The sequence below is a fragment of the Homo sapiens genome, chromosome 2 (assembly GCF_000001405.40).
Source record: "Homo sapiens chromosome 2, GRCh38.p14 Primary Assembly".
NCBI lineage: Eukaryota > Metazoa > Chordata > Mammalia > Primates > Hominidae > Homo > Homo sapiens.
The window spans coordinates 169,797,626-169,825,440 of NC_000002.12; the positions used below are offsets into that span (position 1 = coordinate 169,797,626).

Below are 27,815 nucleotides of genomic sequence, written 5' to 3' on the forward strand. Positions count from 1 at the left end.
GACATACCCAAGACTCGGTAATTCATAAAGAAAAGAGGTTTAATTGACTCATAGTTCCGCATGTCTGGGGAGACCTCAGGAAATTTACAATCATGGTGGAAGGGGAAGAGGCATGTCTTACACAGTGGCAGGTGAGAGGGAGCGAGCAAGAGCAGGGAAAACTGCCCTATAAAACCACCAGGAGAACAGCATGGGGGAAACCATCCCCATGATCCAGTCACCTCCCACCCTGTGTGTGGTTCCTCCCCTCCACACTTGGGGATTATGGGGATTACAATTCGAGATGAGATTTGTGTGGGGACACAGAACCAAACTATATCAGTCGCCATGCTTGGGGGGCAATTGTTTCAAGTCACTTTGTCCCTTACTACCTGCTTCATCCATTTTCATGTTCTTCGAATTTGTGATACAAAGAAGAATGTATAGCCAATCAATAGCTTGTTATTGTAATGTAAGTTATCGGTAAACAATTTAGGAACTGCCTCTTCTTTTTTCTTTAAAAGCTACTTGTAAGTGCTGCTAATCAGAGCATATATTCAGGGCAATTTGAATCCATGCTCTCATGTGGCAGTCCTCAAACTTGGCTCAAATAAACTGTCTACTTATATTAATTTTGCCTCAGTTTTTCCCTTTAGGTTGACAATATTGCATCAAGTTGAATACTCACAGCAATTGTATGAACTAGGTAGTATTTATTACCGGCCCTATTTATACCTGAGGAACAGAGAAGTTGAACAACTTGTCCAAGATCACAGTTTCACAGCAGGAGGACCATTATTTGAAGCAGGCAGTCTGATTCCAGACACCCAGTTTTTACACGCTGTACTGTATTGTTTTCAAAACTCTAAGATTTCATGGATCTTTGATTTTTTTTTTAAATTTCACTTGTCCTTTTTTTTTTTTTGAGAACTACTACAACACGATGTGTGTGTGTATTCACACACATTTTTGGAAAATATCTGAAAAAAAACCCAAAGCACTTCACATGAATGGAGGGCCAAAGGAAGGGCTGGGGTACAGACGCCGTCCAGAAATACTTAAAAATAAATGTTTATACTAACACAAACTAGCAGCCATTCCCCTACAACCTGGAGTACTTTTTAACCCAATCTGTTTGGGATTGAGGGCGGGACTCCAGGGTCCCTGGGAGGCCCCGGCAGCCGCGCATGCTCAGAGCACAGGGACCGCTCCACCTCGTCCGTGGCCCTGCCCACCCAGGCCGCAAGAGCTGCCGGGACGGTCCCCATCTTCTTGGAGCGCTTTAGGCTGGCCGGCGGCGCTGGGAGGTGGAGTCGTTGCTGTTGCTGTTTGTGAGCCTGTGGCGCGGCTTCTGTGGGCCGGAACCTTAAAGGTGAGTAACTCTCGGTGGCTAATGAGAAGCTACAAAAGGGTCCGCTTTGCTGGTGCGCGACTGCGCGTTTCCGTTCTTTACTGCTTCTCGCGGCGTCCGTCCGCCCCTCGCCTTCCTCACGTTCAGGCCGAGCGCCGCGTGGGCCGCAGCCGGAGGCGGCGGAGCCGAGGGGGCGCGGGCGGCGGCGAGGCTGCCCCCGCGAGGAATGCGGGATCCTGGGGTTCCCCGCACGTGGCTGGTGCCCAGGCAGTTCCGCGGTTGCTTAGAGACGGGACTGTGGCTGCCCTCATCCCCATTGCGTCTTTTTTTTTTTTTTTTTTTTTTACCTCCACCGCCTTCTAGTCTCACCGAAGGCTTGTGGCCATCTCTGTAAAGTTTCTGGGGAGGTGGGCACGGGGTAAACGCCGGAGGGTTCTGTGGAGCCTATGGGACTGACTGGAGGCCAAAGAACTTTGGGCCGCAGATGTACACCAGCGTCACTCTTTTGGTCTGTTAGGGCCTTCATCGCTCACATCAGGTTTCAGTGTGAAACGGGAAAACGTGGGTAATATTTCATTTACAGTCGTACATTCTGGAAAAGTATCTGATGAAACGCAGTTCCAAAATTAGGCCAAATAGGTTTTGCAGGGTCTAAATAGTTATTTTATTTCATCGTTTGCTTTGTAGGGGGCCCTAGATCACGGTAGTAACTTAGGAGTGTAGATTGTGATAGACAAGACAATGCATAAAATTGAGTAATTTCTCTAGGGGGATGTGGATCACACAGTACCCCGTTGCAAGTGCTTCCTATGTGTATCCATGGTATCGAATGCAATTGCAGTGTGTCAGGGGATGCTTCCAGGAAGTGTACCTACATCAGTTCATAACTAGAGTCAACTAATGGCAATATTCTCGATGATTTGTTCACATAACTTTTGTACAGTTGGGATGACTGGGTGGCTTAGTAGAGTCCTGGAGGCAAGTACTTTGTAAGTAGAAGACTTGGTTTGTAATTTCTAGCAAACTAATAGCACAGCTTCCTTTTTTCATTGCAGTGCTAATGTCAGGAATACGAAACAGGAAACTGGCTATCCAATGTATTAGTAAATTAGTAGGCATACTCCCCAGTTTAATGTTGTGTTAGTATGACCACATTCTCCCATTTTTGTTTTCGTATGTTCCTTAGCATAGAGTATCTAAGGAACTGTAACATTTTTCACCTTAAAGTTATGATGTCTAACTTGGTAACAAGGTTTGGGTAAGTCAGTTGTGACTACATTTTAAAAGAAATGAGGCCGGGCGCGGTGGCTCACACCTGTAATCCCAGCACTTTGGGAGGCCGAGGCGGGTGGATCGCCAGAGGTCAGGAGTTCAAGACCAGTCTGACCAACATGGTGAAACCCCGTCTCTACTAAAAATACAAAAATTAGTCAGCCGCAGCCGTGGTGGTGGGCGCCTGTAATCCCAGCTACTCAGGAGGCGAAGGCGGAATCGCTGGAACCTGGGAGGCAGAGGTTGCAGTGAGCCGAGATCGCACCATTGCACTCCAGCCTGGGCAACAAAAGCGAGACTCCGTCTCAAAAAAAAAAAAAAAAAAAGAGGTGAACCCATACCAAACAAATGCACAGAGAGCCATGGTAATATACAGATAGATAGTTATCTGTTTAAAACTGGAAATGGTTGGTAAGTGATTGGAGTTTTTTTCCCTAAAGCTTGCTTGACCAGCTAAGTGAAGATAAACAGTTTCTTGTTATAGAAGATGGGGTAGTGATTTACTGAAAGACAAGTTTTTTATAGTTTTTAGATTTTTTCATCACTTATTCCAAAGTGTTGCTTTGTTGAGATATTTGAGAACTGAGTAAAGAAACTGAACCCGTGAAAATAGAAATTCTTGATTTTTTAAGAAAACGGGATATTAATACTTTGTAAACATTATCTTTCTATTCTTGAGTTTTATATAAAAAATAACTTTATGCTAATTTGGGAAATTTTACAGATAGCCGCAATGGCTGAAAATGGTGATAATGAAAAGATGGCTGCCCTGGAGGCCAAAATCTGTCATCAAATTGAGGTATGATTCCTGTGCTATAAACTGCAAAAACAAGTTCCTTGAAAGAAAATACAGAAAGAACATTTAATTCTAGTACATGGACATATTCAACATTTGGTTTGCCTTTGATTCTTAGATGAACATATAATAGCATACAGTTTTATATTGGTGGAGCCAGGTTGTGAAACTTAAGATGTACAAACATTTCAAAAGGTAACACTATAAACTAGAGTTACTTAATCTTTTTAAAATTTTAGTTTCATAGTCTCATATAAAATTTTAGCTTCATAGTCTCATATAAAATGAGAATAATAGTAGTTCCCTCCTCATAAGGTAGTTTGGAGGATTAGTGAATATAATGTTAAGTACTTAGAAGAATTCCTGACACATAAGTAACATAAAAGTCCTTGGTAAAGTACCTTCCCTGTTAAATAACACTATATTTTTGATGATCTTAGTTTTTTTCTGCCCAGTCAGTTCTCAGCTATTGTAACTTTAATATAGTTTTTTTTTTTTTTTTTTTTTTTGAGATGGAGTCTCACTCTGTTGGCCACGCTGGAGTGCAGTGGCACTATCCTGGCTCACTACAACAGTATTGGCTCACTGCAGCCTCTGCCTCCTGGGTTCAAATGATTCTCCTGCCTCAGCCTCCCAAATAGCTGGGACTACAGGAGCACGCCACCACACCTGGCTAATTTTTGTATTTTTAGTAGCGACAGGGTTTCACCATGTTGGCCAGGCTGGTCTCGAACTCCAGACCTCAGGTGATCTGCCCACCTCAGCCTCCCAAAGTGCTGGGATTACAGGTGTGAGCCACTGTGCCCAGCCAGTAACTTTAATATAGTATCTGTTTTCAAAACCCTCTTAGCATTTTTTCAAATTTAGGTATTATGTTTATGTTAACGTAATACCTCAAGTGATCCGTAGTACCTTTGCAGTACTGATGCAGGAGGATGGCTTGAGTCCAGGAGTTAGAGACCAGCCTGGGCAACATGATGAGGCCCCATCTCTACAAAAAAATTTTAAAAATTAGCTGAGTGTGTTAGCAGTTTACCTGTAGTCCTAGCTACTTGGGAAGCTGAGGTGGGAGGATTGATGGAGCCCAGAAGGTAGAGGCTGCAGTGGCTGTGATCATACCACTGCACTCCAGCCTGGATGACAGAGCGAGACACTGTTTCAGGGGGCGAGGGGAAGAAACTTGAGAGTCTTCGTGAGCATACTCTGGCTGGGGAGGCTGCCTGATTTGCAAATCGTTCTTTGTTCAATTAAACTCAAAAAGAAAAAAACCTTAAAATCTTTACAATATCGATAATGGTTGCATGGGAAATTATCTCTAAACTTAGGTTCTTGCTAAGAACCCCTCAGATCATATTGTTTGGTGTGGGGTTTTTCTGCAATTCTCAGAACTGCTTTTTTTTTTTTTTTAAGCTGCACGTCTCTGCATTTAAAATGTCTCATGTTCCTTTTTTTGGTATTAATTTCTTTATGACTATGAGGAGAAAAATTAGAAATTATTCATTCTGTGTTTAATACTTAGAACAATACTAAGATGTATATAGAAAAGGTTGTATCTCTCCCACAACCTGCTAACTCTCAAATCCTACTCTTCTGAGGTTATCAAGGTTAAAAGCTTTTGACACTTTGCTTCATGCTCATACTAATTTTTTTAGTGGACCTTATATTTTACAACAGTTCTAGGTTTACAGCAAAATTGAGCAGAAGGTACAGAGATTTTCCATATATCCCCTGCCTCCACACAAGCATAGTGCCTTCACCTTTTAAAACATCCCCCACCAGAGTGGTACATTTCTAACAATTTTATTTCCTTCCCTTTCCCCCGCTAAATATAGGATGCATTTTTGTGGAGAAAAGTTTTGTAATCAATAATCTTTTCATTCTCCTCTTTAATATGAAGGATGTTTCTAATTTTTTTAGCTGTAATCATTCTTTGACAAATATTCTTATATATAAATCTTAGTAAACATGTTTATTGATTTCTTCAAGGAAAATTCTTAGAAGGAGCCATACTGGCTCAAGGATTATGCACATTTAAAAAACACTGATAATTGTCAGTTTACATCTACCTGAATGGCTAGTTCTCTGTGTTCAAGTCAATACTAGGTAGTCTTGGTTTTCTTTCTAATCTTAGCCAGTTTGTTAGGTGAAAAATGCTGTCTCGTTGCTTTAAATTGTATTTCTTTGATTAACAATGAAATGAGGTTGGATTTTTTTTTTAGTTTACAGTACATTATTTATTTATTTATTTTTTGTGATGGAGTCTCACTCTTGTCTCCCAGGCTGGAGTGCAGAGTGCAGTGGCGTGATCTTGGCTCACCACAACCTCCACCTTCCAGGTTCCTCAGCTTCCCAAGTAGCTAGGATTATAGGTGCACACCACCATGCCCGGCTAATTTTTGTATTTTTAGTGGAGACGGGGTTTCACCATGTTGGTCAGGCTGGTTTCGAACTCCTGACCTCGGGTGATCCACCTGCTTCGGCCACCCAAAGTGCTGGGATTACAGGCATGAGCTATTGCGCTTGGCCTATTTTTTATAATTTTTAAAAAAATCATTAGCTGGGCATGGTGGCATGTGCTTGTCGTCCTAGTTACTTGGAAGGCTGAGGAGGAAGATCAATTGAGCCCGGGAGTTTCAGGCTGCAGTGAGCTGTGGTTGCACCACTGCATTCCAGTCTGGGCAACAAAGCAAGACCCGATCCCTGAAAAATAGTGTCTTTTTTTTTTTTAAGACAGAGAGACAGTATTGCTCTCCTCTCAGGCTGGAGTACAGTGGCGGTGATCTCAGCTCACTGCAACCTCCACCTCCCGGGTTCAAGCTAGTCTTGTGCCTCAGCCATCCGAGTAGTTGGGATTACAGGCGTGCACCACCATGTGTGGCTAATTTTTGTATTTTTAGTAGAGTCAGGGTTTCACCACTTTGGCCAGTCTGTTGTCGAACTTCTGGCCTCAAGAAATTGACCCGCCTCAGCCTCCCAAAGTGCTGGGATTATGGGCTTGGGCCACCGTGCGAGGCCAATAAAATATCCTTTAACTGTTTTCTATTAGGGTGTTCTCTTTTTACCCTTCTTCTTTGTTTGTAAGAATTCTTGACAAAATTTGTTTGTCTTTTACTTTTTATGTTACTTCTGGCATTCCAAATAGTCATACTTGGGTTTTTCCTTGGCTTGTATATTGAGAGTTCCTCTATGCTTAAATTTGAGAAACATTTACTTTAACTTTTTTTTTTTTTTTTTTTTTTGAGGCAGCGTCTTACTTTGTTGCCCAGGCTGGAGTACAGTGGCACAATTATGCCTCACTGCAGCTTCAACCTGCCAGGCTTAAGCAATCCTCCCACTTCAGCTTCCTGAGCTGGGACTAGAGGCACGTACCTCTATTTCTTATTTATTTTATTTATTTATTTATTTTTTGGAGAGCTGGGGTCTTGCCATGTTGCCCAGGCTGGTCTTGAACTCCTAGACTCAAGCAATGCACCCACCTCAGCCTCCTAAAGTGCTGGGATTAGGCATGAACCACCACTCCTGGCCCCCCACCCCCTTTTTTGAGATGGAGTCTCACTCTTTTGTCAGGCTGGAATGCAGTGGCACAATCTTGGCTCACTGCAGCCTCTGCCTCCCGGTTTCAAATGATTCTTCTGCCCCAGCCCCCTGAGTAGCTGGGACTACAGGTGTGTGCCACTATGTGCAGCTAATTTTTGTATTTTTAGTAGAGACGGGGTTTGACCATGTCGGCCAGGGTGGTCTCAATCTCTTGACCTCCCAAAGTGCAGGGATTACAGGCGTGCGGCACCGTGCCTGGCCCCGTCCCTTATTTTTTAATTTTAAAAAATTAGAAGGGCAGGTGTGGTGGCTCATGCCTGCAATCCCAGCACTTTGGGAGGCCGAGGTGGGCAGATCGCTTGAGATCAGGAGTTCAAGGCCAACATGGTAAAACCCTGTCTCTACTAAAAATAACAAAAATTCGCTGGGCGTGGTGGTACATGCCTGTAATCCCAGCTACTCAGGAGGCTGAGGCAGGAGAATCACTTGAACCTGGGAAGCGGAGGTTGCGGCAAGCTGAGTTCATGCCACTGCACTCCAGCCTGAGCGACAGAGTAAGACTCTGTCTCAAAAAAAAATAAGAATTGAGTGATTAACCAATTTCTTCCAGTTCTTTTTATTTAACCATCTGTTCTTTCCACACTGATTTGCAAGAGCCTTTTCATATAATCTTTAAATATATTCTTCTTTAAGGTTTTCTAGTCTATTGACACATCTGTTACACTATTTTAGTAATTGACATTTTAGTTTTATCTTTTTGCTAATTTGTAAACATTATTGTATATTTGGGGAAAGTGTTTTGCCTTTTGTAACTTATGTATTTTTAAATAACAGAACTTGGTACTGTAGAGTAATGTCAGGATTGGAGTCCATATTATACAGTGTTCTGAAATACATTGTAATTATCTCACAGTATTATTTTGGCGACTTCAATTTGCCACGGGACAAGTTTCTAAAGGAACAGATAAAACTGGATGAAGGCTGGGTACCTTTGGAGATAATGATAAAATTCAACAGGTAACAAGCTTTTAAAAATAATCTTTAGGTTTTCTGTTTACAATGAGTGCTACTGCTGAGTCTTATGTTTTTATATGTACTCTTCAGGTTGAACCGTCTAACAACAGACTTTAATGTAATTGTGGAAGCATTGAGCAAATCCAAGGCAGAACTCATGGAAATCAGTGAAGATAAAACTAAAATCAGAAGGTCTCCAAGCAAACCCCTACCTGAAGTGACTGATGAGTATAAAAATGATGTAAAAAACAGATCTGTTTATATTGTAAGTGGGCCTGTAATGCATTTAAATATCTTACATTTATTTAGAAAGTAAAGTACGGAAGAATAAGGGCTCAGGAATCACAGCCTCACTAATTACTGTATGTCCTTTCGTAATATTCTTAACCTAAGTTTCTTTTGTTTTGTTTTGTTTTGAGACAGTCTCATCCTGTTGCTCACGTTGGAGTGCAGTGGTGTGATCATGGCCCACTGCAGTCTTGACCTCCTGGGCTCAAGTGATCCTCCCACCTCAGCCTCCTGAGTAGCTGGGACTACAGGTGCATGCTACCATGCCTGGCAAAAAATTTTTTGTAGAGACGGGTCTTCCTGTGTTGCCCAGGCTGGTGTCAATCTCCTGGGCTCAAGTGATCCAATCACCTTGACCTCCCAAAGTGCTGGGATTACAGGTGTGAGCCACCATGCCTAGTCCTAAGTTTTATCTTCATAAACGTGGATATTTTCTACCTTGTAGAACTGTTGTGAGAATTAAATGAAAAAAAATATATATACCATTGGATGAAATCTTTGACATATTCTAAGCACCTATTGCCTATTAGCTGTTCTTATTTATCAGCAGCTAAACTTGATTGCAGTTTTCTTTAGTGTATTTTTAAATAGTTTTTTATTACGGAAAATTTCAGATACATATATAAATAGATTCAATAATGTACCATCACCAGCTTTAGTAGTTAATAACAGAACATGCAAATCATCTTGTTTTATTTCTGCTTCAACTGAATTATTTTGAAGCAAATACCAGATGAATCACTTTTATTGTACTGGAGAGTAGTGGCTCCTAAACAAGGCTGTTAAGTGATTAACAAAGAGAAATAGAGATAGATAGGTATATCCTGGGTTCATTTCAAGAAAAAATGAATCAAATTCTCTCCAATTGTTTATCTGAGAAGTCATTATTTGTTATTTGTACATTTCTTCCCACTCTTCACAGAAAGGCTTCCCAACTGATGCAACTCTTGATGACATAAAAGAATGGTTAGAAGATAAAGGTCAAGTACTAAATATTCAGATGAGAAGAACATTGCATAAAGCATTTAAGGTATGATAATACAGACTTTTTCTAGTTTTAAAATATATGGGACATAACTTAAAAAAATATTTTCCTTCCTTTTTACAGGGATCAATTTTTGTTGTGTTTGATAGCATTGAATCTGCTAAGAAATTTGTAGAGACCCCTGGCCAGAAGTACAAAGAAACAGACCTGCTAATACTTTTCAAGTAAGTCTTTTTGCTGATGTTTCTCCTGGCCTTTTACTTATATGGACACACACTAGGGTAAGGAGCATGGAAGTAGTATCCCCTGAAAGGCCAATATTCTTAGTATCTTTAGATGACCTTTGAGAAATGCTTGATATTTGTTCAGTGAGAACTATAGTCTTTTGAGACTATAAGAAAAGTGTTCATTAGTACCTTTTCACTGTTAACAATTTTTTTTTCTTTTTCTTTTTTTTTTGAGACAAGTTTCACTCTTGTCACCCAGGCTGGAGTGCAGTGGTGTGATCTTGGCTCCCTGCAACCTCTGCTTCCTGGGTTCAAGCGATTCTCCTGCCTCAGCCTCCTGAGTAGCTGGGACTACAGGCGCGTGCCACCTCGTCCACCTAATTTTTGTATTTTTAGTAGAGATGGAGTTTCACCATGTTGGCCAGGCTGGTCTTGAACTCCTGACTTCAGATCATCCGCCTGCCTTGGCCTCCCAAAGTGTTGGGACTACAGGCGTGAGCCACTGCGCCCAGCCACTGTTAGCCATTATTAAAGGAGGTTATGTTTTAATACTGATTTTGCATCTAAAACTTTTGATCAGGCTGGGTATTAAAATTTGGTCTTTTGTGTGTTTGGAAAATATATCAATGCAGTTTTCATCTTATTTTTCATAGCCTATATGTCTTTTTTTTTTTTTTTTTTTTTTTACAGTACAAAGGATTTGAGATTTGGGTCACATTCTTTGTGAATGTGTGTCTGTCTAAGTGTCTAAAAATGGGGATGAACCAGAGCATTTTCATGATAAAATTAGGTGTAGGGCCATAGTTCCCTACTTTAGAAGACTGTGCATTAGTCTTCTAAATGGTATATACTAAACTTGATTGACTTAGAGATGCACTGTGATGGGTCATAGTATCAGTGTTAAATCCTCAAAAATTATTTAACATGATTTTCATATGTTATTGTTGGATCTTGGGGATTTTAGAATTTTCTCCTTTTGTGGAATTAACACTATAGAAAACTGCAATATTATTTGCATGACTTCTGATACACTTTTTTCCCTATACATGAATGATAAATGGAAATCAACATGAAATTGCTAATGGATAGGGGGTTTCTTTTTGGGGTCATGAAAATGTTCTGAAATTAGTAGTGATGGTTGTACAACTGAATATACTAAAAAACATTCAAGGTACACTTTAAAAGAGTGAATTTTGTGGCACATGGATTTTTTCCTCAGTAAAGCTGTTATATAAAAAAACATGAGAGAGTAAATTCCTTGGCATATTTTGAATTTTTAGTTGATGATTATGTTGATAGTAAGCGTGTGCAACATTCATTGCTGTGCCATGTCTTAAGTTATTCAAAATAATCTGCAGTCTTAACTTTGTTCTCGTGAACTTAGCCTCTGTACTGTGTGTTCTTTAGGGACGATTACTTTGCCAAAAAAAATGAAGAAAGAAAACAAAATAAAGTGGAAGCTAAATTAAGAGCTAAACAGTAAGTATGTTGAACTAATCACGACATAATTTGAATTCCTTAAAGCTCTGACAGAAATATAGCTGGTGAGCTCTGAAATAGTGGCAGTAGACCTTTCTCTTTGCTAGTGAAACACTGAGATCTTAAGCTGCCTTGACAATCTCAGGGCCAAATTGCATTGCAGTCTAGCATTGGACGATCAAAAAAACCTAAGGACTTCTGGCTTTGGTTAAGTAAGTTTAGTGATCATGATTGGTTAACTTTATTAGGACTTAATTTTCTTATATAGTAAATAGAAGTATGTTATAATTATATTTTTATTTGTAGGGAGCAAGAAGCAAAACAAAAGTTAGAAGAAGATGCTGAAATGGTAAGTATATATTACTGCTATCTAGTACATCTGTAATTCGAAGTTAAATGAATAGCTTTTAAGTCTGAGGACTTTTTCAAGAAAATACGTAAGCAAAGCTATCTATAGTTGTTATTGCATTAAGTAATACATCAGGTATTATATTGAGGGAAAAGAGAAAACTAAGGATAGGAAATATGTTCTAAAATATGGAAAAGGCCGGGTGCAGTGGCCCACGCCTGTAATCCCAGCACTTTGGAAGGCCGAGGCGGGCAGATCAGTTGAGGCACGGAGTTCGAGACCAGCCTGGCCAATATGGTGAAACCCCATCTTGACTAAAAATACAAAAATTAGCCAGGCGTGGTGGTGCATGCCTGTAATCCCAGCTATGTGGGAGGCTGAGGCAGGAGAATCACTTGAACCCAGGAGGCGGAGGTTGCAGTGAACCAAGATCATGCCACTGCAGTCCAGCCTGGGTGACAGAGTGAGACCCTGTTTAAAAATAAAAAATATAATAAAACACAGGAAAATATATTTTGAAATATTCAGAAAAAGTTCATTTATGCCTAGAACTTATTTTTATGAGAAAATGTCCTATAACTTCTAAAGATTCTAATCATAGGTTAATACTAACATGACTTTTATTTTTGACTTAATAAGATACTGATGTGTATTTCCATTTAGAAAGTTACAGGTAAAAATTTTTATTTGGGGAAAATAATGACTATAAAATTTTTTTTTTTCTTTTTTTGAGACCGAGTCTCACTGTTGCCCAGGCTGGAGTGCAGTGGCGCGATCTCGGCTCACTGCAAGCTCCACCTCCCAGATTCATGCCATTCTTCTGCCTCAGCCTCCCGAGTAGCTGGGACTACAGGCGCCTGCCACCACGTCCGGCTAATTTTTTGTATTTTTTTTTAGCAGAGACGGGGTTTCACCATGTTAGCCAGGATGCTCTCGATCTCTTGACCTGGTGATCCGCCTGCCTCGGCCTCCCAAAGTGCTGGGATTACAGGTGTCAGCCACTGCGCCCGGCCTAAAAATTTTTTAAAGTATGATAAATACTGCCTAGAATTATTTTCCAAGATAGTTTAATAGCCAGATTTATGTAGTTTATAACTAATTAAATACCAGTTGTATAAGAGATCAAATAATATTGAAAGCCATTTTGGAATAAAGGATGACAAAGGAAAACACCAACACTATGAAACTACTTTATTTATTTATTATTATTATTATTTTTTGAGATGGAGTTTCGCTCTTGCTGCCCCGGCGGAAGAAACTACTTTAAAATAGCATTTTGGTTTCTAGTCTTTTTCTTGTATAGCTATAAGGTGGTGTGAGTCATTTCTGGTCTGTTGTTGCTTTTAAGAAACTTTTTGATCACTTTGTATATTTTTATAGAAATCTCTAGAAGAAAAGATTGGATGCTTGCTGAAATTTTCGGGTGATTTAGATGATCAGACCTGTAGAGAAGATTTACACATACTTTTCTCAAATCATGGTGAAATAAAATGGATAGACTTCGTCAGAGGAGCAAAAGAGGTTTGGATACATCCCTATCCTTTTTAGCAATCAGTTTGAAAATCTGTAGAAACTTAGACAAAATTAGTAGAAAGTAATTTTAAAAATTGTGTTTATTAAATTAGTTTCTACTTGATCATTTGTTATTGCCACTAGATGTGATGTCTGATATTTTCTGAATTATACTAAATTAGTTTCTACTTGATCATTTACTTTGTTGTTATTGTCACTATATGTGATGTCTGATAGTTTCTGAATTATACTATGAATAACTGTTCATACTGATGATTGCAGTTTTACTTCTGTAGCATTCCTTTTCTACTGTTCAGTAAAATTCATTCAAACTGGTAAAGACATGGAAGGTTTGCAGGGTAGAAAAAATTACTTTGGACAAAGAAATTAATTGTGGGACTAAAAACCAAGGGTATGGCTTTTGTTTTCTGTCTCTGGTATAGGGGATAATTCTATTTAAAGAAAAAGCCAAGGAAGCATTGGGTAAAGCCAAAGATGCAAATAATGGTAACCTACAATTAAGGAACAAAGAAGTGACTTGGGAAGTACTAGAAGGAGAGGTGGAAAAAGAAGCACTGAAGAAAATAATAGAAGACCAACAAGAATCCCTAAACAAATGGAAGTCAAAAGGTCATTTATTCTGATTTTTCTTTAACAGTTTGGTTGTTGAACCCATTTACTTGAGCAAAAACTTTAATCAGTGTTCAAAAACATTGACAAGAGACTTAAAAAAAGTTCTTTACAGAGTGCTCAATTGTGTCTCTACAGGTCGTAGATTTAAAGGAAAAGGAAAGGGTAATAAAGCTGCCCAGCCTGGGTCTGGTAAAGGAAAAGTACAGTTTCAGGGCAAGAAAACGAAATTTGCTAGTGATGATGAACATGATGAACATGATGAAAATGGTGCAACTGGTAAGTTTTTTTTAAGTCCTTTGGTAGTTTCATGAGAAAATTTCTACTTCCATAAATAAATGATTTGCCAGAGAGAATAGGGATTTGGCTTTTCAACTCCTGGATAAGTGCCATTCTTGGATTATTAACGATTTACCTCGGTTATGCTGTTGTATAAGTCAGGGACAGGATATTTGGAAGATGAATCTAGAGGTCAGGTCTGTACTAAGAGAAAAGCCTTTTCTCATTGGTGCAAGGAAGTTGTTGCATCTTTTTCAACAGTATCATTATTAGTAATTGTGCTCAGTATTAAACTAGAGCAGTACTTACGTTGAATTTAACAAAAATTAATTGTTACGTTATAGGACCTGTGAAAAGAGCAAGAGAAGAAACAGACAAAGAAGAACCTGCATCCAAACAACAGAAAACAGAAAATGGTGCTGGAGACCAGTAGTTTAGTAAACCAATTTTTTATTCATTTTAAATAGGTTTTAAACGACTTTTGTTTGCGGGGCTTTTAAAAGGAAAACCGAATTAGGTCCACTTCAATGTCCACCTGTGAGAAAGGAAAAATTTTTTTGTTGTTTAACTTGTCTTTTTGTTATGCAAATGAGATTTCTTTGAATGTATTGTTCTGTTTGTGTTATTTCAGATGATTCAAATATCAAAAGGAAGATTCTTCCATTAAATTGCCTTTGTAATATGAGAATGTATTAGTACAAACTAACTAATAAAATATATACTATATGAAAAGAGCAAAAACAGTTTTTGATTTTTTTTTTCTTTTTGTACCCAAAGCATTTAGGAAAGAACTAGAATATTAGCTATTGACGATGGGCCTTTCCCACAGGCCATTTATGGTGTCTCCTAGGCTGGCTTTGTATATTTACACAGGAAAGTTGGTAACACTAGAAATAATTACTTGTCACAAAGCTTTCCTTTTTTTTTCTTTTTCGAGACTGAGTCTCACTCTTATCGCGCAGGCTGGAGTTCAGTGGGGCAATCTCAGCTCACTGCAACCTCTGCCTCCTGAGTTCAAGCGATTCTCTTGCCTCAGCCTCCCGAGTAGCTGGGATTACAGGCATGAACCACCACATCCGGCCCAGAAAGCTTTTCAATACCGAATGTAGACCAGCCAAAATCAAGAGACTTACTGATTTCTTTTTGTGAAACTTGTATGATGCTGGCAGGTCATATCGAAGTTCTGTAAAACAAAAGCCACCTAAGGATAAAATTGTATTTCCAAGCGTTTACCACCCTTGACTAAACAACAACAACAACAAAAACTAAGAAAAGTGTTAAGTGCTGGTAAGCTGAACATTTTAGAACCTTTAACTTATCCAAGTAGTGACTTCTGTATTCCTAGCATTAGCCATGGCAGCTTGGCATTTCTGTTATTATGGCCATTTATACTGAAATTTGAGGTTATAAGTGATGAGTTTAGAAGGATAAACAGTGGACGAAAAAGTAAATCCTATGAAAATGATGGTACCTTTCTATTTTTAATTTCCTAATAGTCTATAGCTAACTTAATCTCATAACCATATTTATTTCAAAATTTTCTTACCCAGAGTTTAATAATGGTACTAAGTACCCATTTTCCTCCTAAGCTCTAAAACGAAAACCAGTTTTTCATATTTCTTCCTTCTAAAGAATAATGTAGATTCTCCAAACTCTTTACTACTGATCTATTTTAGAGGGATGGCAGTGAGTCTACTACTCCTGTATGTCACAGCTTTCAAGTTTTAATGTGCAATCAAATCACCTGGGGATCTTGTTGAAATGCAGATTCTAGTTCAGTAGGTCTGGGTGGAGTCTGAAATTCTTTTTTTTTTTTTTTTTTAAGACGGAGTCTCGCTCTGTTGCTCAGGCTGGAGTGCAGTGGCGCGATCTGGGCTCACTGCAAGCTCCACCTCCCGGGTTCATGCCATTCTCCTGCCTCAGCCTCCCAAGTAGCTGGGATTACAGGTGCCTGCCACCACACCCAGCTAATTTTTTGGTATTTTTTAGTAGAGACAGGGTTTCACTATGTTAGCCAGGATGGTCTTGATCTCCTGACCTCAAGATCTGCCCACCTCAGCCTCCCAAAGTGTTGGGATTACAGGTGTCAGCCACCACGCCCGGCCTGAAATTCTTTATTTCTAACAAGGAAATCTCAGGGATTTTAATGCTGATGGTCTGAGGGCCACATTTGGAGGAACAAGCCTCTGGCTTGGTATAGTACTGGGACTGTTCTAAGGTGTTCCGTACTGCATATAATACCTAAAACTGGCCGGGCGCGGTGGCTCACACCTCTAATCCCAGCACTTTGGGAGGCCAAGGCGGGCGGATGACCTGAGGTGAAGAGTTCAAGACCAGCCTGACCAACATTGTGAAACCTCATCTCTACTAAAAATAATAATAATAAAAAAAACAGCTGGACGTGGTGGTGCGCCTGTAGTCCCAGCTAGTTGGGGAGACTGAGGCAGGAGAAGAATCCCTTGAACCCAGGAGGTGGAGGTTGCAGTGAGCCAAGATCGTGCTGCTGCACTCCAGCCTGGGCAACAGAGGGAGACTCCATCTCAAACAACAAAAAAACACCCCTACTGAAAATAACAGGAAGACGAACAGAAGTGTATATTACATTATTATTATGAACAGTAATATATCTAGCTGTATGTTTAACACTACAGTGGCAATTCATTGTTAGTTTATTATTGTGAAAAAACATGTTCCCTTATTGCACTCTTATTTCAGGCTTAGATTATAATTAGCTTCTAGTTATATGCTTTTCCTGTTTTGATGTTTGTGACTATTACCCAATTTAGTAATAAAAATGTATCAAACATGATTTACTCATAGATATTTAGAAGAAAAAGATAAATGTTATTTGATTCCAGGGGTAATTAGAGAATGAAATTAGAGGCTGGGCTCAGTGGCTCACACCTGTAATCCCAGCACTTTGGGAGGCCGAGGCTGGAGGATCACTGAGGTCAGGAGTTCAAGACCAGCCCTGCCAACGTGGTGAAACCCTGTCTCTACTAAAGATTAAAAAATTAGCCGGGCGTGGTAGTGCATGCCTGTAGTCCCAACTATTTGGGAGACTGAGGCAAGAGCATCGCTTGAACCCGGGAGGTGGAGGTTGCCACTGCACTCCAGCCTGGGTAACAGAGCAAGGCTTTGTCTCAAAAAAAAAAAAAGAAAAAAGAAAATGAAATTAGATTATCTAGGAATAATGTGGTGGCATTTTCTATGAATGAATTTCAAACCAAGATCTGACCAACTCCAAGCCCACTTTTTTTTTTTTTTTTGAGATGGAATCTCACTCTGTTGCTTAGGCTAGAGAGCAGTGGCGCGATCTCAGCTCACTGCAAGCTCCGCCTCCCAGGTTCACACCATTCTTCTGCCTCAGCCTCCTGAATAGCTGGGACTACAGGTGCCTGCCACCACACCTGGCTAATTTTTTTGTATTTTTAGTAGAGACGGGGTTTCACCATGTTAGCCAGGATAGTCTCAATTTCCTGACCTCGTGATCCGCCTGCCTCAGCCTCCCAAAGTGCTGGGATTACAGGCGTGAGCTACCGCGCCCGGCCCACTTTTTTTTTTCATTTGTTTGTTTTTGTTTTTTTGAGACTGAGTCTCCTCTGTCATCCAGGCTGAAGAACAGTGGTGCGATCTCGGCTCACTGCAACCTCTGCCTCTGGGACTCAAGCGATTCTCCCGCCTCAGTCTCCCAAGTAGCTGAGATTACACGTGTGCGCCACCATGCCTGGCTAATTTTTTATATTTTTAGTAGAGATGGGGTTTCACCATGTTGGCCAGGCTGGTCTTGAGCTCCAAACCTCAGGTGATCTGCCCACCTTGGCCTCCCAAAGTGCTAGGATTACAGGCGTGAGCCACCACACCTGGCCCCCAGCCCATGTTTTTAGCCATTGTGCTGCTATACAGTGTTCTGCCTGAGTCTGGAGTGACCAAATACCTGAGTGCTATTAGAAATTTTCAGTAAATCGCATAAATTAGGACAGTCTCAGGCTAAGTGTTCATTCTGCTTTTACTCCATTTCCAATCTATTACCAATCATGCACATTTTGCCACACTGTAAAGCATAGTTTATCTTCTCAGCACCTGCATGAAAATTTTGGTTGGGCGAATACATGTTGGCCCTTTTGGATATTAGGATTGAGATTTGTCTTACCTGCTATAATATCTATCTTGATTTTCCATTCTGCAGCTTTCTTTTGAACATGCTGAACATAAATAATATGTTGTTATGAGCTGATTTTTAAATAATGATTTTTTAAAATTGCTTTTTACTAATACTTGAGATTGAGTTTTTAAGCTTAAAATTTCATTAGAATCTAGACCCTTATAAAAATTTCAATTGAATGGATAGTATTCTGAAAATAATAAATCAATTTCAATACATTTAACAATCTGAACCAAATCACACAATAAATCCAAGTGATAGAAAGCTACTCATGCACCACATAATGCCATTTGGGGTTATCTAGGGACTGCATATATTTTGGTAGTCCCATAAAATTATAAATGGAGCTGAAAAATTGCTATTGCCTAATGATGTAGCTATCTTGACATCACAGCACAACACATTACCTTCTTGGTGTTTATATATGTTTAGATCAAAAGAATACCATTGTGTTACAATTGCCTGTAGTATTCAATACAGTAATAGGTTGACAGGTTTGTAGCCTAGGAACAACAGACTATAACCACAGAGCCTCGGTGGTCCACTCTATGTTTGCACAATGATGAAATCACCTCAGAATGCATTAGTCAGAACATATCCCTGTTGTTAAAGGATGCATGACTATTTCAGAAATCTATCAAAGATGTGTAATGTTCTCATATGGTTTCTGTAGCATTATTTCATTGATATATACAGCTAGCTAGCCTAGAAACCATTTGGCAGAGATATAGGTACATGGGGAATTCAGTTCATGCAGTAAAACTGAGTTTTATAAAATTCATGTTATGCCAAGACTATACTTTCAGGGATCATTTCTATAGTTCGTTACTAGAGAAGTTTCTCCGAAAGTGTAGAGCACTGTATCATGAAAATGGCCATACTACCCAAGGTAATTTATAGATTCAATGCTATCACCATCAAGCGACCACTGACTTTCTTCACAGAATTGGAAAAAACTACTTTAAATTTCATATGGAACCAAAAGAGCCCACATAGCCAAGACAATCCTAAGCAAAAAGAACAAAGCTGGAAGCACCATGCTACCTGACTTCAAACTATACTACAAAGCTACAGTAACCAAAATAGCATGGTACTGGTACCAAAACAGATATATAGACCAATGGAACAGAACAGAGGCCTCAGAAATAACACCACACATCTACAACCATCTGATCTTTGACAAACCTGACAAAAACAAGCAATGGGAAAAGGATTCCCTATTTAATAAATGGTGCTGGGAAAACTGGCTAGCCATATGCAGAAAACTGAAACTGGATCCGTTCCTTACACCTTACATGAAAATTAACTCAAGATGGATTAAAAATCTAAATGTAAGACCTAAAAACTCTAGAAGAAAACCTAGGCAATACCATTCAGGACATAGGCATGGGCAAAGATTTCATGACCAAAACACCAAAAGCAATGGCAACAAAGCCAAAATTGATAAATGGGATCTAATTAAACTAAAGAGCTTCTGCACAGCAAAAGAAACTATCATGAAAGTGAACAGGCAGCCTACAGAATGGGAGAACATTTTTGCAATCTATCCATCTGACAAAGGGCTAATATCCAGAATCTATAAACAACTGAAACAAATTTACAAGAAAAAAAAACCCATCAAAAAAGTGGGCAAAAGATATGAACAGACACTTCCCAAAAGAAGACATTTATGCAGCCAACAGACATATGAAAAAATGCTCATCATCAGTGGTCATCAGAGAAATGCAAATCAAAACCACAATGAGATACCATCTCATACCAGTTAGAATGGCAATCATTAAAAAGTCAGGAAACAACAGATGCTGGAGAGGATGTGGAGAAATAGGAATGCTTTTACACTGTTAGGAGTGTAAATTAGTTCAACCATTGTGGAAGACAGTGTGGAGATTCTTCAACGATCTAGAACTAGAAATACCATTTGACCCAGCCATCCCATGACTGGGTATATACCCAAAGGGTTATAAATCATGCTGCTATAAAGACACATGCACATGTATGTTTACTGCGGCACTATTCACAATAGCAAAGACTTGGAACCAACTCAAATGTCCATCGATAATAGACTGGATAAAGAAAATGTGGCACATATACACCATGGAATACTATGCAGCCATAAAAAAGGATGAGTTCATGGGATGAAGCTGGAAACCATCATTCTCAGCAAACTATCACAAGGACAGAAAACCAAACACCGCATGTTCTCACTCATAAGTGGGAGTTGAACAACGAGAACACATGGACACAGGGAGGGGAACATAACACACGGGGGCCTGTTGGGGGGTGGGGGGCTGGCGGAGAGATAGCATTAGGAGAAATACCTAATGTAAATGACAAGTTGATGGGTGCAGCAAACCAACATGGCACATGTCTACGTATGTAACCTGCATGTTGTGCACATGTACCCTAGAACTTAAAGTATAATTAAAAAAAAAATTCATGTTATGCCAAGCTGTGCAGAAAAGAGTTCACAGCAGGCCTGGCTGCTTATCCTTAGAAAGGCCTGCTTAGTTTGGCCCTTGTCTGGAGACTGGGAACTTAGATTTTGGGAAGCCTCCCACTCCCTACTCCCTTAATAATAGTGACTGACTGTGCCTAACACTGTTTATGCTGAACACCTGTTTTCCTACTGGGAGTCTAGAATTTGGGTATGTGTCAGAAAGGGAATTGCCTACATGATCAGTCCCTAATAAAAGCCCTGGGCACTGAGTCTCTAATGAGCTTCCCTGGTTGGCAATGTTTCACATGTGTTATCAATAATTCATGCTGGGAAAATTAATTGTGTCCTGTGTTATTCTACTGGCAGAAGACTCCAGAAGCCTGGCCCTGGTTTACCCCATTCTCTGCCTAATGCACCTTTCTCCTTGCTGATTTTGCTCTATATCCTTTCACTGTAATACATCATAGCCATGAATAAGACTAGATGCTGAGTCCTGTGAGATTTCCTAGTGAATCATCAAACCTGAGGGTGTTCTTGGGGACACAGGTTTGGATACCAATGTTTACTGGTGTTTGCTTTCATATATAGTGAGTGAGGATTTATTTACTAGCTATGTTGTGTCCTGTTGCTTGCCTACATGTACCACTACTTATTATTAGCAGTATAGTTCTTTTTAGCTGTTATATTTTATGCTTTTTAAAAGGTTATCACATTACCATGTAACTAGAATGTATTATTTCCAACTGGGTTCTTACGTACTGTATTTACATGAATTAAGTATTTTTCCTACAAAAGCACTTTAAAATCTTTGAATACATGTATGATTTAAATAATAATAGCTAACACATAGCAATTACACATGTCAGACACTGATCTAAGTGCTTTGTAAATATTAACTCATGTAATCCTCACAATTCTTATGAAGTACAATTGGTACTCTCAGTCCCTTACACTTAGAGTACAGGTGAGGATAGTATAGATGACAAAAGCTCAATTACCTTGATGATGAAACTCAATTACCTTGACCAAGAAAACAGCTGGGAGGCAGCAGAACTTGGATCTGAACCCAGAGAATCTGGTCTGGCTTCAGAATCTCTGTTCCTAACTATTGTGTTATACTGACACTAAAAAAATGTACTGCCCCTTCCCCCAGTTTCCTGGACTACAACTTATACACCTCTCCATGTGTTATATGCTGCAAAAGTAAGAATAGGTGATTTCTGAACTCAGATCTGTTTAGCTCCAGGCTCAAGTGTTCTGAAAACCTGGCCTTACTGCCTCCCTTAAGTACATCAGGCCACACCGGGACAATGGGACAAAAGGGATCAACTAAGACTTACTCAGAGAAACCAAAACATACAGTAATCCTAGTTACAACACACTTTTCTACTCCTGAGTTATAGTCTCTCCTCTGGCAACAGTTCCTGTCTGAAAAAAATCTTTGAGGAAATAAGTCTTATAGCCTGGAAAAAGGCCAATCAGATGCTAGCTGGTTAAGTGGAAAATTTAAGTTTCACATGTCAAAATGGTCAGGAGAAATAGATACTGTGGTATCTAGTATTCACAGCAAATCCTAAAAACACTGTCATGAATTTAAAAATCAATGCCACAGAATATCAGATGATTTGAACTTACTTCTCTAGTTGAGGATTTGTGTAAGGAATATACTGCTGTTCTTGCCATTTCCAAAGCAGTCTTTAGAAAAGCCATATCTGTCCCTGTGAAGAGTAGAAAAAAAGCTCCTATTTACCTCTTCTCAAAACAGAAGATTAAGTTAGTAGGATTTAGAAATATTTTCTTCCAAACTTCAAAATAGCCACCTTGAAATCTTTTAGCAATAAGGGTACAAATAAACTATCAAAATATTATTTTAAGGCTGGTAGAATAAAACCAGAATTATACTGTCTTGGTTAAATAAGGATAAAGTAAAAATTTTAATATTATATTCCAACATTAATGACTTCAAAAAGGGGAGAAGGAAATGCATAGAGTACTATTCAGAATCATCTTGGTGGGGGCAGGGTACTTTTTAAACTATGCATGTCTTTTTTTTTTTTGTTTCGCTCTTGTTGCCCAGGCTGGAGTGCAATAGCATGATCTCAGCTCACCGCAACCTCCGCCTCCCGGATTCAAGTGATTCTCCTGCCTCAGCCTCCCTAGTGGCTGGGATTACAGGCATGTGCCACCATGCCTGGCTCATTTTGTATTTTTAGTAGAGACGGGGTTTCTCCATGTTGGTCAGGCTGGTCTCAAACTCCCGACCTCAGGTAATCCACCCACCTCAGCCTCCAAAGTGCTGGGATTATAGGCGTGAGCCACCACGCCCGGCCAAACTATGCATGTCTTTTCCTACCCTCACTGACTTCCTAACCTCCTTGCCCACAGTACACACAAAATTAACAGCCACGGTGAGTCACTGTTACTGATGGGCACATGTAGAAACCCTTGGGTCTGTTAAGACATTAAAAAACAGATTCTGAAAGTATAAAATTCTTTCTATGTTTCGTATTCATTCATAAGGGTTAGGCAAATTATTCCTGAAAGCAAATGGGAGATATACAATAAATGACATGACTATCTTTGTTTACTTAATACAAATTTGTAAAAATGAAAGTTGAAAAACTCAGTTTCTTAGCCATGCATTAAACAAATTGAAATGTAAATTATAAGAACTATACAAATAAGAGATTGGTTTACTTAATGAAGAGTAATAACATCACTTAGCCTTGGTTTATTTAATGAAGAGTGATAAAATCACTTAGCCCAAACAGTGATAAAAATGGTTTTTATTTTTGTTTAATTTTTTCTAGACAGGGTCTTGCTGTTACCAAGGCTGGAGTGCAGTGGCACATTCATGGCTCATCGCAGCCCCGAATACCTGAGCTCAGGTGATCCTCCCACCTCAACCTTCTGAGTAGCTAGGACTATAGGTGCACCACCACACTTGGGAAATTAAAATTTGTGTGTGTGTGTGTGTGTGTGTGGGTAGAGGCAGGGTCTAACTATGTTGCCCGGGATGGCTACCAATTCCTGGCCCCAAATGATCCTCCTGTATCAGCCTCGCAAAGCACTGGCATTACACGCCTGAGCCACTGCGCCTGGCCTTAAAAATGGTTTTAAAATCTTTTCTATAAATATACCAATATACCCGATTCTTGTTACAAACCTTTATTATTTTTGGTCCCAAAGGGAGGATTCATAATTACTGTATCGAATGACTTGGACATTCTGTTAGATAATAAGCACACATCACATTGAACCATGTCAATATTTGTTAACTCAAACTCTTCTGCATTCCTATTAAATATTTCCAATGCGTCTTCATCTATGTCAAATCCAACACACAACCTATAAATACAAAACACATACAAAGAGTGGCGACTTATAGCTCCCAAGTAAAAACAAAACCAAAATTAGCTGTTTTTTTTTTAAACCATATATCTTTTTAACCCAATTAGCAAAGTAAGAGTGAGTGTTTTCTTCTTTTTTTTTTTCTTTTTTCAGACAGGATCTTGCTGTGCCACCCAGGTGAGTGTAGTGGTGCCATCTTGCACTGCTCAAGCAATCCTCCCACCTCAGCCTCCCAAGTAGCTGGGACCACAGGCGCACACCACCACATCCAGCTAATTTTTGTATTTTTTGTAGACATGGGATTTCACCATGTTGCCCAGGCTGGTCTCAAACTCCTGGGCTCAAGTAATCTGTCCACCTTGGCCTCCCAAAGTGTTGGGATTACAGGCATGAGCCACTGTGCCCAGTCAAGTGTAACAGCATAATTTCCAAACCCGGCAGGGGTTGGAAACTCAGGTTTGTATAAAAGGAACTGCTGCTTTCACCATTTTTATTTAATTTTTGTAGTTTGTTTAGATCTTCTGCCCATTCAAAATGTATTCAGTATCAGATTTTTGCTCCCTATATCTCATTCTGTGGAGTCTCATAAATATAATTCAGTTAATCCCATTGATGCTCCTTATTAAAGCCACCCAATACCCAAATAGCATATATTGCATTACGTACCCTGCTCCTAACATTGCAGTTCCGATGCTAAGTACTCCACAACCACATCCTAGATCTGCAACGACTTTATTTTCAATGTCATCATAAGTGTTATGGATTGTATAGAGCATACATGCTAAAAAATAAAAAAAAAAAGAATAAGTAAGCAAGCCGGTGACTAAAATCTAATTTGTGCAAATGACTCTTTCTAAAATAATTTCTTGTGTTGCATTACTTAGTCCTCCCCAAATGCCATTCCAGATTATTTTTGTAAAAGATAAGGGGTAATGATTTGGTATGTAGTAAGAGGCACCATAAAGGAAGCTAATACCCACCAGTGTTTCTCAAAAAATAGTCTCTGCTAGCAATGCCAAGAATGACAAAACTGTGCCCAGTCTCTGAGGTAAAATAAAAAAAAGTCAAAACGTTTAGTTTTTCCTCAGCTTGTTAAAAACATTGCCATATACTCATATCGGTTCTTTCTTTGATGCTGAAATATTTTTAAGAAAGAATGGTAAGAGTAAATAGTTTTTAAAAAAATCCTTTTTTGTCAACATAAATTTGGCAACTCTATCAATTTCCAAAATTGTTTTGAAATTTTACTTATCTGTGAAATCTATAAGACTAGGAACCACTATCAAACAAGCATTAGCATCACAAAGACATAGAATCTTTTTTTTTCTTTTTTTTTTAAACACAGGTTCTCACTATATTGCCCACGCTGCTCTCGAACTCCAGGGCTCAAGTGATCCTCCCGCCCCGGCTTTCCAAAGTGTTGGGATTACAGACATGAGCCACTGTGCCTAGCCACAGAACTTTGTTTTAACAAGTTTGTCACCAGAACACAAGCACCATAAGCTCCACAATGTAGCCTTTAGACACATATACTCATGATCTACAGACATATATATTCATAATCTACAAATGAGACCTGATAATAGAACTACTGGGTGTTAGATACACACTGAAGGTCAAACATGAATACCACCACCACCGATATTTCCCTGAAGATATCTGAACCCAGCAAGGACTGTTGGCCACTGATTCCTGCGGATCCAGAAGTTTTTTGTTGTTTTTTTTCAGAGACAGGGTCTATCTCTATCACCCAGGCTGGGGTGCAGTGGCGGATCAGAGCTCACTGCAGCCTGAAATTCCAGGGCTCAAGCAATTCTCCTGCCTTAGTATCAGCAGCTGGGACTATAGGCACATACTACCACACTAGGCTAATTTTTTTTTTTTAAGAGCTGGGGTCTCACTGTATTGCCCAGGCTGATCTTGAACTCCTGGGCTCGTCATCCTCTTGCCTTGGCCTCCCAAAGTGCTGGGATTATAGGGGTGAGTCACTGTACTTGGCCAGATTGTTATTATTTTTTAAACTGGATTCCACTAAAAAAACCTACAGTCAGAAGACTAGTAAGTCATTATTTGAGAAAACTGGTCTTAACCTAGACACAGTAGTTTTGTGTGAATTTTTGGTTGGAATCATGACAGTATCTTGGAGTTAAGTGTAAATACACATGTATTCTCCTTGACTTTCATTGACAACTTAGAAACAACTATTTTGGAACTGGAAAAAACTCCTTGCAGGTACTCTCAGAAAATTAATTTTCCTAAGGAGCCAGCCTCAGTGGCTCATGCCTGTAATCTCAGCACTTCTTGAGGCCCCAGTGGGAAGATCGCTTCAGCCCAGGAGTCTGAGACCATCTTGGGCAACATAGCAAGACGCTGTCTCTACAAAAAATAAAAAATATTAGCCAGGCATGACGGTGCATGCCTGTAGTCCCAGCTACTCGGGAGGCTTAGGTAGGAGGATCACTTGAGTCCTGGAGGTCAAGGCTGCAGTTGCCGTGATCATGCCACTGCACTCCAGCCTGGGTGACAGAGTGAGACCCTTATCTCAAAAAATAATAATAATAAAATTTTTTTCCCCTAAGGTTTCCCAATGACTTCGGTAACATAAATATATGTTGTCCTGTATTCTCTCTTGTACTCCCAGTATCAATATCTGGCATGAAGCAACAATGCTAATGCTCAGAAAATCTGTTAAAATATGCATGCTCATCTTTACACAGCACATACTCTGATTTTGTTAAACTATCATTCCACTATCAACTCTGGTATTCATTTCTAGGGCAGAGTATATAGCACAAGAATCCTTGCGTAGGCAATTAGTAGCAATGGGAAACTGATCCTTATTTAGTAAATGTTTACTGAGCTCCTAAATAGTACCAGCGACTCTTCTGGGCACTGGGAATTCAAGTATGAACAAGTCTAACAAATTCCTTGTCCTCAGAGATTGTAATGTGAGAAGAGAAAAAAACACATTAAAAAGATGTCTGGCAGTGTTAAGGGATATGCAGAAAACTAGACAGTAAAATGATAGTGTGTATGTCTGTGGAGGGTGTGCCTTGAGCTGCAGTGTCAAGGAAGGCCTCTCTAACGCGACAGGTGATCTTAGGGCAGAATTTCTCTAGACATTCTCTGTATCCAAATAACTGTTCTATTTTTATCACAGAGTAGACTGGACTAACGCCGAAAGCCGGGGCGTGGTGAACCAGCCGCCCTACCTGCAATGTGCGGCCTGGTAGGATACTGTTCCAGAAGTAGCTTGGGCTTTTCAAATCCATCCACTTGTTGCAGGCGACTCTCTAGTTCCTTAAGCCTTACTTTCTTCATTTTGTTTTAAAGTATGGACTCGTAGGGTTTGAAGGCACAGGATCTGCGGAGAAATCTATTGAACTGGGATCTTGTTTCCTCCCTACCCCCAACCTTCTCCCTTTTTCAGCACCGCTGGCCGGACCCGAAGACGCGCCCTAAGGAGACGCCCGGACGCAGGGCACGGGGCGAGCCTCTGACCCACCTCCCGGCTAACCCAAGCCGCCCCAGGAGACGGCGGCGGCGCACTGCTGGAGCAGCCTCAGGATCCCTCGCGCCACGACCACGCACCTCTGGAGGCGACCCGCACCTCGGCCGGTGCCGGAAGCGCCAGGCCGCACGCGCGCACGCGTTCGCCGCCCAGCGGCCCGGCGCCGAGCTGCAGCGTTTATCTTGAGCCGGGGTTCCGCTGGCCACCTGGGGGCCTCATTGCCCCATCCCCTCCGCCTGCAAAGCCTGCGCTACTTGCTGACCCACCGCCAGTCCTCGCCGCCTGTCGCGTGCTCATTACCCTCTAGTTTGCCATGAGTACCTGCGGGCCCTCAAAGGATGGGGAAAGACAGAGTGAAAGGGATGCGGGAGAGAAAGTCACAGTCACTTTGTTGTATGGCCCAGAGTGACTCTTCTTGTTTCCCAAGTCTCGGCTCAAAAAGTAGCGATCTCCATTCACCTTTACCTCCTTCTCCATTCTCATGCCTTATTTTATTGTAACTTTGTTTCCCAATTTTTAGGTCATTTGTGTCACTTGCAATTCTCACAGGAGTGGTGATGTCAAAGAAACCCAAAGAAGAGATAGTGGAGAGGCAGGGCGCGGCGGCTCACGCCTGTAATCCCAGCACTTTGGGAGGCCGAGGTGGGTGGATC

At 40.3% G+C, this 27,815-nt stretch overlaps 2 protein-coding genes and 1 non-coding gene across 8 annotated transcripts, besides 2 other annotated features; 2 read left to right on the plus strand and 1 right to left on the minus strand.

Annotated features, from left to right (window-relative positions):
* Window positions 1,029-1,529: an enhancer, noted in NCBI's record as "H3K27ac hESC enhancer chr2:170655164-170655664 (GRCh37/hg19 assembly coordinates)". NCBI's record gives its function as "activates a minimal SCP1, AML or CMV promoter by ChIP-STARR-seq in naive H9 embryonic stem cells {active_cell/tissue: H9 hESC(naive)}" and the evidence as "EXISTENCE:reporter gene assay evidence [ECO:0000049][PMID:30033119]".
* SSB (small RNA binding exonuclease protection factor La) lies at window positions 1,246-14,439 on the plus strand. 2 transcript variants are annotated; one of them, NM_003142.5, is made up of 12 exons: window positions 1,246-1,351; window positions 3,327-3,401; window positions 7,849-7,952; window positions 8,040-8,214; window positions 9,160-9,267; window positions 9,346-9,446; window positions 10,857-10,928; window positions 11,235-11,277; window positions 12,658-12,798; window positions 13,233-13,419; window positions 13,558-13,698; window positions 14,043-14,439. In NM_003142.5, the coding sequence occupies exons 2-12, from the start codon at window positions 3,336-3,338 to the stop codon at window positions 14,129-14,131; spliced, it is 1,227 nt and encodes a 408-aa protein (NP_003133.1). In that variant the 5' UTR covers window positions 1,246-1,351; window positions 3,327-3,335; the 3' UTR covers window positions 14,132-14,439. The 2 variants fall into 2 exon arrangements, with proteins under 2 accessions (NP_003133.1, NP_001281074.1); NM_001294145.2 differs by lacking the exon at window positions 1,246-1,351 and adding an exon at window positions 1,677-1,891.
* Window positions 1,481-1,680: a silencer, noted in NCBI's record as "silent region_12086". NCBI's record gives its function as "represses an Ori minimal core promoter by ATAC-STARR-seq in GM12878 lymphoblastoid cells {active_cell/tissue: GM12878}" and the evidence as "EXISTENCE:reporter gene assay evidence [ECO:0000049][PMID:35858748]".
* On the minus strand, window positions 14,132-27,280 carry METTL5 (methyltransferase 5, N6-adenosine). Of its 5 annotated transcripts, none has more exons than NM_001293187.2 (8): window positions 27,243-27,280; window positions 26,864-27,015; window positions 24,318-24,432; window positions 23,467-23,648; window positions 21,936-22,018; window positions 17,852-17,903; window positions 14,832-14,881; window positions 14,132-14,233 (listed from the first exon to the last, which is right to left on the minus strand). In NM_001293187.2, the coding sequence occupies exons 2-8, from the start codon at window positions 26,970-26,972 to the stop codon at window positions 14,195-14,197; spliced, it is 630 nt and encodes a 209-aa protein (NP_001280116.1). In that variant the 5' UTR covers window positions 26,973-27,015; window positions 27,243-27,280; the 3' UTR covers window positions 14,132-14,194. The 5 variants fall into 5 exon arrangements, with proteins under 5 accessions (NP_001280116.1, NP_001280115.1, XP_047299971.1 ...); NM_001293186.2 differs by having other exon boundaries at window positions 27,157-27,280; XM_047444015.1 differs by lacking the exon at window positions 17,852-17,903.
* SNORD3K (small nucleolar RNA, C/D box 3K) lies at window positions 18,654-18,753 on the plus strand. The gene has a single exon (NR_145754.1). It is a non-coding gene; the product is annotated as a small nucleolar RNA, C/D box 3K (small nucleolar RNA).